Source organism: Homo sapiens, chromosome 1 (genome assembly GCF_000001405.40).
Source record: "Homo sapiens chromosome 1, GRCh38.p14 Primary Assembly".
Lineage (NCBI taxonomy): Eukaryota > Metazoa > Chordata > Mammalia > Primates > Hominidae > Homo > Homo sapiens.
Window position 1 is genome coordinate 186,940,721 of NC_000001.11, and position 12,181 is coordinate 186,952,901.

A 12,181-nucleotide genomic window follows, 5' to 3' on the forward strand; every position below is an offset into this window, starting at 1 on the left:
AAACAGTACATGTCAACAACGTTACATTTTCTGGAATTTTTAAAAAATATTTTTGATCTGCAGTTGATAGAATTTGCTGAACTCATGGGTATATAGAGCCAACTGTATGTTTGCCATTCAAAGTGCTGTTGTAATTTTTATAATTCAGCACCTAAAAAGTTCTAGTGTATATTTGTAGTGGTTGATGAACCAATGCCTCATTTTGTTAAAATCTCAGGAGTGAACACTTGTTTCTTCTCAAGCTTTGCTTCTTGGATACTATAAAAGTGCACAACACTACTCGGGAGGCTGGGGCAGGAGAATGGCATGAACTCGGGAGACAGAGGAGCTTCCAGTGAGCCGAGATCATGCCACTGCACTCCAGCCGGGGCCATAGAGCGAGACTCCGTCTCAAAAAAAAAAAAAAAAAAGGGCACAACAGCATACTTTTGGGGGGGCCTCTGTCAGTGTTAGTCTGCAGCACAATAGCATTTCTGACTGTAGCTGGTGGGCTTCATTCTATTTTTAGGAAAATTATCTCAGTGACTTCAGACACCCCATGAGCTTAAAAAACCATCATGAGTGGTGTGTAATTGGCACATATATATCCAGAATCCTTTTGTAATTTTCACTTTTCTCTCAACTGCCTCTCAGACAAAAATTTTGAATAGTTTACAAAAATTAGCACACATGGGATCCATTCATTCAAATGTTTATTAAAATATTGGCTAAAATGTTTGTCATGCTTATGGTTCAGAACGCACTTATCACATTTGCTATTTTATTCCATGTTTCCTACAACCGGGGAGTAGGTATTTTTAGCTCTGTTCAACAGAAGAAAAACGAAAACCTCATAAAGATTAAATAATTTGCACATTGCTGCTTAGAACGTAATTAGCAGTGCTGAAATTGGTTTCAAAAATCCTTTGTTCTTTTTATTTTACCATACTAACTTCTGATGTGTACATAGTGATTACCGTCTATATAGATTGCAGCAGTCTGCCGGGCGCTAAGGATGAATTCCTCTTTCCTCACCACAATATATTGTCCCTACCCTATAAGACCTTATAGTCTGTTTGGAAAATTTACAATAATTATTAAAGAAGTTAAGGCACAAGAGAGTACAGAACTGTTACTATACACTGTCATTTTGACCAAGTTATATAATCTACGTTAGACCCAGTTTTCTCATCTGTTAAGTGAAGATGAGACTTCTCACAATGTTTTGCCAAAAAATGAGACAAAGTATGTAAACAATGGCAGGCCCTAATAATAAGTTTCCAGTACATTTTAACAATTTAGAATGTTCTGTGAAAGCTGTATAAGAAAAGTCAGAGGTCTAGATCTTAAAGATTAATAGGATTTGAATATGAAAGGCACATTTAATTATTGGATTGTGGAAGGGGGCATGTAGCAGGGTCAGGGATAACTCAGGTGTGCTCAATGGCAACAAGGAACCACACATCTTGGGCTATAATGGGGTTCATAGTAGAGAGTTGAGACTTTATTACATAGAAAAGTAAGCGCCATAATGAAATTGCTTCCCCCCAGCCATAGCTATTATCTTGTGGAGCTTTGAAATTTTTGGAATTGTTTGATCTATAACACTTGCATGCTAGTCAGATTTTTGCATGGCCAAATAAATCATCCTTCACCCAGAAAGAATTACATGGTCAAAAGAACACTACATTCTAATTTAAAAGCCTTGTCTTACAATACTTCTAAGCTGAATACCTCAGGCTAGTCATGTAATCTCTGATTCTTATTTTCCTCCTTATTTTAAAAAATATATTAACCCTAAGATTTATCTTCCAGAGCTATTAAGGCAATAATATGAAATATGCATAAGATGAGACTGAAAACTATAAAGAGGCATACAAATATAAAAGTTTGTTTTTATTGTCATGATTGTTCTGGACTTTTCACGGTGGTTATATTTTATTCTGAATTTTTAGTCAATAGCCATTTTCCAAGAAAACTTAACTAAAATAATTAAAGAATAAATAATATTTGGGTGAGTGGATATTCTGGGTTCTTTTAGACTGAAAAAATGCTGTTTTATATTCAGTTAGTAGTCTTTGGACCTGGATGTGTCTTCTTTTGACATCTGCTTCACTGCAGTACTGCTACTGAGATGAGTGGTGCATCATTAACCTTCATTGTTAAGCTTCTGTCATAAGGCGGGTTGAGCTGTGTCTTCCAACAGATTTAGACAAAATCATTAAACATTAATTATATGAATCTTGTACCCAGATAAGACATCTTAAGGTACATGTCTTGAGTGTTCAAGTAGCTTTACTTGAGTTACTGGGAAAAAAAGAATAGAGACACGTCTGTAATTTATTCTTCCAATATATGCTTAGATTGAAAGTGGCTGTGTAGAAGAAAAAGTTGAGATAGTCTCTGAATTATATTTTTAAAAGTCAAATAATCAAATTAGCTTACAGAAGCTTTATTAACAATTTTACTTCAACAATACCGGATAATATTTTCCCTTCCTCTTGGAATAATTTTAAACACACCTTTCATTTAGAAATTTCTTGGAAATTTTCAACAAATAAACATTGGTGTTTAAACTGTTAGAAATTCCTGACTCCTCCACTACATCACATTGCTGAAAGGACTTAAAACGTTCATTTAAAAATTTCCACTGGTGAATAAACTGCATTTATGGATTACAACTTATGGTTATGAACTTAGCATCATGCTAAATTTTTTGACAGACACTTTAGAAGTACAAATATAGTATTTTTCCTCAAGAAAGTTATAATCCTATTGAAAGAGACAAAAATAAAGCATGGAAAAATTCCTATAATATACCTAGACCTGACATAAGTGTGTAGACCTGACATAAGGGTGAGATGTCATAGAGATTTAGTATAGTTGTAAGAAAGGGTGATGAAACTTGGATTTAAGTCGAATGTAGAAGGATCTATCAAGTACGGGTAAAAAGATACCTTTGTGTGGAAACAATATGAGAAAATGCTCAGAAGGGAAGCCAGAGTTATGTTTTGGGCATCACTATTAAAAAAAACAACTAGTCTAGGACTTATGCACACATTGGTGAAGAAAAGGTGTTGTATTTGGAGGCACCAATAGTCCCAAGTTATGGAATGATTTTAATTCCAGACAGAAATATTTTTATTTGATTTTGATGATAATGGAAATAGTTAATGCTTTTGTGCAGGGCAATAAAATTATTTATGTAGTGTTTTTGAAAAAGTCACTTTGGTGACCAATAAAAACAGAATGGAAAGGAATGAAACTGGAAGCAGAGATATCACTGTGCTTTTGTGATAAGGCCCTGGAACTAGGGACATACTGATAAGAAAAGAATAGATGGATATGAGAGGCCTAAAGGTTATCGGTGTGATGCAATGATGGATTTGATAGAGTGATAGCATGGTTTACTGAAATAGGTAAGCTGGCCCGGGAAGAAGGGTGATGAGTTCTTATCTAGGTAAGTATAGTGGGAGGAGATGACAGAATATCTGAGTGTAAGGGCCCCAAAGGAAGTTGAAAGTACATGGAAGCGCAGGAGAGAGGTTGGAGTCAAAAGGTAGAGTCACCAGCAGGAGAGAATTAGTTGAAAACTAACACCGTGAGTTCTTCAGTGAGGGGTGCAGAGCTCATTTTAGCTTTTGAGAATGCCTAAGTTACTATGTGCCCAGGCCATGGCGCTAATCAAGAAGAGATCGCTAGAAAAGCAGGAACCAGGAAGTTGTTATGCCTCAGTTCCCATGATAGGGTTGTGAAATTGAGAGATAGGAAATTACTTGTATGAATACAGGAATTTTCCTAACAGCCTCTGATTCATTGCTAGTTATGTCTCACAAATTCCACGTAAATCGTTGTAAATCACACCACTTTCTGATGAAGAATATATGTACCATTTGGCTTTGACATATAATGAATTACAATGTTATCAAAATTGTGATTTCATCACTTCCTTCATGAAAGGAAGGTGTTGTGACCTACCATTGAACAAACAATAAATATAGATCCACAATTCCTTTTCCAAACCTTTGGTGACATGTGTTTTAGAATTCAAAATGTTTGGATTTTGGAGATATAAAGATACTCATATTGTGTATTACCTAATACCCCATTGGGTTCTTATAATCAGTGATATTTCTCCAATAGGATATATAAATATCCACATTGAGTGGGATAAATGAATTATAAGAGCCCCCACTAACATTCAAGCCTGATTTCTCACTAAATGAATTCAGATTAGATTTTACAAACAAATGAGTAACAAAGAAGCTTATGAATTTTTGAATTGTTTGGATTTTGTATTGTTGGATAAGATATTACAGACATATTATAATTTCAGAAAGAGAAAAGCTAGAAAAAAAAATGAAGTGGGTTAGAGAATTATGAGTTGGGCAGGGGTGGATGATGTTGGGATTTTAAAATGGACCATCAGCAAAGACCCTAAAATAAAGATTAAGTAGGAGCAAGCATTATAACTGCAGAAGGGAATAGCAAGTGTAAGGTGCTGAAGTGGGAATGAACTTGACTTCTTTGAGGAACAGCAAGAAGATCTGTGCCGTGTGGCTGAAGTGAAGTGGGATACGCAAGACAAAATGTGATAGAACATTGTTAGGAGGGATGTGGTCACATCACACAGGGAGTGGGATCTAGGCCAGGACGGAAACTTGTCGGCCCTGTTTTTATTTTCAGTGTAATGGGAAGCTTTCAGATGACACTGGTGTGCTGTGATTTATATTTTTAAAGATTTATTCTGGCTATGGGATATCAAAAAGATAATAAGTGAACAGAGTAGAAGCATTTTAGGAGGTTATTGTGGAGGTCCAGGAGAGAGAATACAGCAATTTGTATCAGTACGATCACAGTGGACAAATGGATAAGTGACCAGGTTCTAAACATACCTCGTGATAGAGCCTACAGCACTTGATTTTTCCTGTGTAAGCTATAAGGGAAAAGAGAACCATCAAGGGTAATCCTGAAGTGAGTAGTGGCATGAATAATATAGTACCATTTACCAACAAGAAGAAGAATGAAGGAGTTGCAAATGTAGAAAATGGGAATCAGAAACCAGGAGTTCTTGCTGAAGACATCAAGATGCAGATGATAATTAGACATAGTCGTAGCCATGGGAATACATGAAACATAAAGTGGCTACTATTTATTGAGCAATTAAAATGTGCTATGTCCTCTTCTAAGCTCCTTACATTTCTTAACTCAGTGGATCTTCAAAACAATCCTACACACTATCTACTTGTGATATGTGATTTTATTCACATTTTATAGATTAGGGACCTAAGACAGAGAGAATAATACCCAAGTCAGTAAGCACAGCTCATAAGCAGCAAAATAGGATTTGATCCCAGACAGTCCAGCTCCAGAGCCCCCGCGCTTAGACAGTATACATCTCTGGCACTATTACCATGTTTTTCTAAGGCATTCAACCTAAAAACTTTGTATTGCAATCTTGTGGAGTTAGAATAGACAGTTAGTGAGCAAAATTGAAGTGAAGGTGAAGAAAAGATAAATGTTAGAAAACATTTTATTTCATTTTAATAAACTGTTTGAATTGCTTAGAAGAGTTTAATTTATTCTGTATGCTCCATGAAATTTATATCTAGTTAGCAGTTTTCAGTTTCCTGTTCTGTAGAATGAAAACTGGCTTCAAAAAGACATCTGAGTTTTTAAATAGAAAAGTGCATCTAATTTCTGCAAATTAGAAGGGATCTTTTTGTATCGTCTTGTCTTATTCACCTCTAAGCGTTTTTCCCCCAACTTCTACACAATGTCATATACATAATGGGCATTTGGCTAATGTTTTCATTTTGATATTTTAAATACATGAATGAGAATAAGCATAACATTATTAAAGTGATCATTAATTGTGCACACCATGCCATAGCATTTTCCTATTAATGGATTGCCTTGTTTTTAAAATACTTTCAGATTGGGTTGAATTTAGTCCATACGAAATTGGCATGGCTAAATATGGTACTTTTATGGCTCCCGACTTATTTGGAAGCAAATTTTTTATGGGAACAGTCGTTAAGAAGTATGAAGAAAACCCCTTGCATTTCTTAATGGGTAAGTGATCAAAATAAAAATATATCATTGACTTGCTTGACTATTTTGAAACCTGGGATATTTTAAGTTATTTTCTGTTTCTGTTTTATTTTAGGTGTCTGGGGCAGTGCCTTTTCCATATTGTTCAACAGAGTTTTGGGCGTTTCTGGTTCACAAAGCAGAGGCTCCACAATGGAGGAAGAATTAGGTATCCTAAAGATATGCTTACATTGATACAAATCTTGCTACATTGATAAAGTTTATTGACATATATAGAGAGAATATTAAATCTTTGTAAATATTTCAACTATTCTAAATTTATTAATAATTTGGTTGAATCAATCTAAATATTTCCTAAAAATAATATGTTACTTCTTAAGTATTATTTTGACACTGAGGTTATAAAACTCATAAAAATCATTGATTTCTAAGAGTAATTTTTAATAGAACACATCTCTATTCCTTTTTCGCATTATACTGCTAAACATACTATTTGTATTAGAAAGTCCTCTTTTTATCAAATAAGAATAGCTTTTTAAAGATTAGATTCACCAACAGCTAAATACAATGTAACACTGAAGCTTATGCTTGTCAGTTTATTTAACCCTTAAATATTAACTCACCAGAATTCTGTTAGCATCTTATATTAATCTATACCCAAAAGAAGGAAAAAAATCAAATCACCTCTAGTACACTTAAACTAATGATTTTCATTAAATCTAACCTATTGGCCTATAATAAATTACGAATATTTACAAAACCTGAGAAAGTAGACAATCTCAACTGGGGACCAGTGGTTTTCATTCATTATAGGAATACCATAGAAACATGTTTTCTTAAATTAATAAATTTGACTTAAAGCAAACAAAAAATTTATATTCAGTTTCTTCCAAAAGCCTTGCCACCTGTATTTTAATCAACATTAATTTTTGGGTTGACTGTTTTGACTGATAGCATAAAGAAATGGTGGCATGCTAAATCTGAATTTGGAGCCATAACAGCAGGGACCTGGGAGAAGTGCCTGATGGACTATCAACACAACTACCTACTATCTCTTCTCTATCTGGGAAGTAGCAAAGATCTATCTGAGAACAAAGAAGTCGACAGAATAACATTGATGACTTTTTAAATAATTAATTTATTTGAAGAATGCTTGCATACAAAAAGCTTCCTGCAGGAATTTTAAACAAGCTGTCCTTGGTTATCCCAGGCAATGTCAGTTGATTTAATTAAGTTTACATGCAAAAGAGAATACAATTGTAACATTAATTGGAACATTAAGTTGGCTTATAAGCAGTATTTCCACTGCTCCTACAATTGATTTTAGTTATTTGATAATTTATTTAATATTTGTATTTAGTGTGGTAAACTCCTGTAGTTCATAATATTTTCAAGAGTGTCATTTGTATTTTTGTTAGTTCTTAATGAATAATGGAAAAGTTATCTTATAATTTCATTGGAGCCAAAGATTTTAAAATAAAAATAAAAACAAACACACAAATAAGGCACCTTGTGTTTGTTTATTTTCTGTCCTCTGATCATCACCCAGTTAATGAGCAAACAAGGTAGGTGGCACCCATGAGCCTGCTGTGACATTTACCACGGGGCACATTCTCCTAAGAGTAACTGCAAGGCAATGTGTATAATGATAAAATGATCTTACTTGATTTCTTTTAATGAACATTATATCCCAGATGAATGTCCTGTTCCCAACTCTTTGTGGAAATAACAAACCCTTTCTCTAAGTTATGTGAAGATTTTAGAAAAAAAAAAAAAAGAAGAAGAAAGAGAAGATCACATATTGAGGCTTGCTTCCTGTGCCCCTCTGTTGAATAATCCAGATAACCCAGGGTTTGCTGTTTTTTCTTCTTAAGGCAGGAAGAGAATAGGACTGAAATAACAGATCTGAATGTGGGTGAGACAGTGGCTAAAAGCCAAGGAAAAGGAGGAGGTTTATACTAGGTAGTTTTGAGAAGGTTCTTTGTTGAGAAGTTTCTTTAGAGGCCGGCAGTCTGGCAGCTTATTGACTCGGACTGTGTGTCAGACTGAGGGGGAATATCGTGTATGTGTGATCCGCCAGTCAGCAGGAAGCATGTTACCTCAGATTAAGTAAGGATTTCCAGAAATGAAACCAGAGAGGTGACCAAGAGGACTCTGAGGACTCCTGGTGACTACTCTATCCTTTGGCTGACTGAAGTCTATCTCCTAAAGGAGTGTTCAGAGATGATTTTTACTTTTTTGTTTTCTTCCTTCTGAAGAAAGACTTTAAGGTAAATTGGGCTACAATCAGGTAACTCTGAATGAAACTACTTACTCTCTAAGGAGTTTTGAATGAATGTGAAAAATTTACACTTTTGAGAGATGGAGTTGTACATTATACTAGGATGGAAAATATGTAAATTCAGAATAGTTAGCTATTCATATCGTGAATTCTTCCTTACAAATAAGACAGTATTTTGGTGAACTATTTTCTTAAACTATCATATGTGACAGAAAGAAAGAAAGGAAAGAAAGAAAGAAGAAAGAAAGAAGAAAAAGAAGGAAAAAGAAAGAAAGAGAAAGAAGGAAGGAAGGAAGGAAAGAAGAAAGAAAGAGAAAGAAAGAAAGAGAAAGAAAGAAAAGAAAGAAAGAAAGAAAAAAGAAAAAGAAAGAAGAAAGAAAGAAAGGCAATAGAAAGAAAGAAAATACTTAAGGAAGGAAAAGAAAATAAATGTAGGACTAGAAACACACCTAATGTATATGGCACCTGGGATAGATCATTTCTTAACATCTCCCACACCTCTGTGTAACAAAATTACTATTGATGATAGCCATGAAATGAAACTAATAATATTAGCTTGTGAACATTTAATCAAATTTTTTATGTATAATCATGCCAGTAAAAACTTAAAAAATAAATGTCAATCCATTGCCTTAAGCATTTATTAACCCTTCCATTACTAACTCTTGCTCATTCACGCACATTTTACTTGAAAAAAGACAACTAGTCTGGGCACTGTGGCTCACACCAGTAATCCCAGTTCTTTGGGAGGCCAAGGAAGGATGATCACTTGAGTCCAGGAGTTTGAGACCAGCCTAGGCAATAGAGTGAGACTTCATTTCTACCAAAAAAAAAAAAAAAAAATTAAAAAAATTAGCCAAGCATGATGGTCCATGCCTATAATCCCAGCTACTCAGGAGGCTAAGGTGGAACGGTTGCTTGAGCCCAGAGGCAGAGGTTGAAATGAGCAGAGATCATGCCACTGCAGGCCAGCCTGGGTAACCATTTAAAAAACATAAAGAAGAAAGATAACTAGTTATTATGCTAGAATTTACTGCTGTCTTTGTTTTAAGGATTTCTGGTTGTTATTTTAGTTTTTATAACTGCTCTCTTAATATGTTCTGCAGGAAGCACAAATTCTTGACACCAAAAGGTGAATTTCAACTGACAATTTTCAATATTATTGAAAGTCAAAAGATAATTTATGTTAGTATCTTTCATTCATTTTAAGAAAACTGTTTGGTAGCTCACCTGTAGATTTTGGTTTTATCCTTTATCTTCATAAACACCACTTAAAAATATCTAATAAAGAAAAAGGCATATTTTTTGGTATAACAAGGAGCTTCCTATAATCAAGTTGTTATTTTTGTCAGAATTATGATAAACATAAAATTATCCTCTTTAAGTCATGAATTAATAAATATAAACTAATTTTTCATGTCCCAGGAAATTTTGTTTCCAGTGAGAAATCTGAGAACATGATTAAATCTAATAAATCTAGAATTATTAAATGGATTTAAATTTATACTAGTAGAGCTAGTAGATCTCACTCTGTGGTTTTGCTCAGATTACTTTTTTATATTAAAATTAATTGTTAATTTTGACACCTGAAATGCTTCAATTTTTTTGTTTTCTTTTCACAGAAAATATTACCACAAAGCATATTGTGAGTAATGATAGCTCGGACAGTGATGATGAATCACACGAACCCAAAGGTGAGTGAGCCGGAAACTTTTCTGGCCCAGATCCATGAGGAAAGGATATGAACACTCTGTCTGATTTTCTCACTCAAGATGCTGATGGTAATCTTCACTTCAGACACGGAAGTGATAAAATTGTAGCTTTCTGTTGAGAGAGAGGATTGCATGTTGCATGTCTAATAAAATAGGCAGCACATATAAATCCCTAATTTATTTTGTTTTAATACCTCAAAAATACTATAAGTTGAACAAATGAACAGATCCAAGATGGTAGAAATGCTGAATTCTATTTTAAGTCTGATTAGAGCACTAGGCTTCTCAGCATGGTTACTGTGATTTGGGAACATTTTTAGATGGCTTTAAAAATTAACATTTTGTCTTTCAGAATTTTGTTATTAAGTAACATGAAAAATTATATTCTCACTCCATTCCTGACCCTTATCCCACTGGCTACACCCTCCCTCTTGAGAAAGGATTAGTGATGAAGTGGGGTAAAAGTATCAAGAACTTGATACGTATATTATTTCATAGTATAAATGAGCCCTTTTACATTTTGACAAGGTAGTTTGCAGTTTGGTGTGGATTATGATAGTCAGTGATGGACTTGGGGCAGAGATAAGGTGAGGATCAGATTTGCAACAAATATGAAAGTCATATTTGTTGTAAATGTTTTGTGGTAAAATAGATTATTTTGACACAGTGTTTTGAGACAGCCATTTATAAAAATGTTCCCAATAGTTAAAAAAAAGCCAACAAACAAAAACAAAAACAACAACAACAAAAAACAAAACAAAGGGAAGGCTTTATAAGAACTGGATATATCTGTCCTATTACAGTTTGAATATGATCATCTAGATTTTAGAAGATATTAAATGCTTTCTGGTCCAAAACTTAATTAATTCCACTAGGCATGGAAGAGCCTGTTTTATCCTTGCTTAATTATTACTAAAATTAAAATTCTTTTTTCATAGCTGGGCTATTACTTCCTCAGAAGATGTGTTTGTGTAAATTAAAGAAAAGCTGCCTTCTCTGGAGAATGTAGCTGCACAGGGCCATGGCTTGGCTAGTGTATGTTGTCTTGCGAACATTAAAAAAGAGGATTCCTTCCCTGGGCAGCCAACGCTTTCATCTGGGCATGAGGCTTGGCTAGATGAGTGCAAGTTGGGTTCAGCCCTGATTTGCCCCCCTATCCTGCTGCGTTATGTAGCCCATGATCTGCCTAATCAAATAATGACCAGCAGCCCTGATCATTAAGCAGGAACCCCAAAAGAACCCTGTCCTGGAAGCAAGCAAGTCTTCATCCTGGCTCCTTCATTTTTAAAATTTAAAATTTATATATATTTTAGTTGTTTAAGTCCTTTTTGTTTTGAATTTCCTTTTAATGAAGGAAGCTAGCTATTGTAAAGGGGATAGCTATCACATGCCTAGCATCTTTAGAATTATTTGTGTATTGATTTAGGGACTACTGAGGAGACAGAATAATGGTTTCTCCATTATTAAGTATTTCTATAGATAGTCAGTACATTTGATAACCCCTACAGTACTAGCTGAGTCTTAAGGCTGAGAAGTTCAAGGACTGTTGAATATGGCTGCTTTGGTTTTAGGATCAGCCTTGCTTACAGCATGATATGTAGTATGTGGTTAAGGTTTTCTTTTCGGCTCTTAGTATTTATTTTTTCTCTTTTACATAGAGTTTTTAGAGCAGTTTTAGGCTCAAAGCAAAACTGAGCACAAAGTACAGAGTTCCCATATGTCCCCTGTCCACCTTCCACCACCCCTGCCTCTCCCACTATAAACATTCCACACCAGAGTGGTACATTTGTTACAAGTGATGAACTTAAATTGACATTATTATCAGTCAAAGTCCATAGTTTACAGTAGGACTCACTGTTAGTGTATATTCTATGGGTTTTGACAAATATGTAATGACATATATTCATCATTATACATGTCACACACACTAGTTTCACTGCTCTAAAAATCCTGTCTCCTGCCCCGTCCCCTCCTCCCCCAACCCCTAACAAGCACTAATCATTTTACTCTCTCCATAGTTTTGCCTTTTCCAGAATGTCATGTAGTCAGAATCAAACAATAATGTAGCCTTTTCAGATCTTTCACTTAGTAGTGTGCATTTAAAGTTCCTCTATGTTTTTTCTTGGCTTCATAGCTTATTTTTTTAGCACTGAAT

General features: G+C 34.6%; 1 protein-coding gene across 5 annotated transcripts in view, besides 1 other annotated feature; it reads left to right on the forward strand.

The window, feature by feature from the left end:
* PLA2G4A (phospholipase A2 group IVA) overlaps positions 1-12,181 on the forward strand; it is a 160,033-nt gene that overhangs the window by 111,772 nt on the left and 36,080 nt on the right. For all 5 annotated transcript variants that reach the window (XM_011509642.3, NM_024420.3, NM_001311193.2 and 2 more), the window contains 3 exons: positions 5,917-6,054; positions 6,149-6,241; positions 9,937-10,008. In XM_011509642.3, the coding sequence (XP_011507944.1) occupies positions 5,917-6,054; positions 6,149-6,241; positions 9,937-10,008 (303 nt within the window). The remainder of the gene's footprint in view (positions 1-5,916; positions 6,055-6,148; positions 6,242-9,936; positions 10,009-12,181) is intronic.
* Positions 9,944-10,144: a silencer, noted in NCBI's record as "peak520 fragment used in MPRA reporter construct". NCBI's record gives its function as "represses an SCP1 promoter by STARR-seq MPRAs in K562 erythroleukemia cells {active_cell/tissue: K562}" and the evidence as "EXISTENCE:reporter gene assay evidence [ECO:0000049][PMID:32103011]".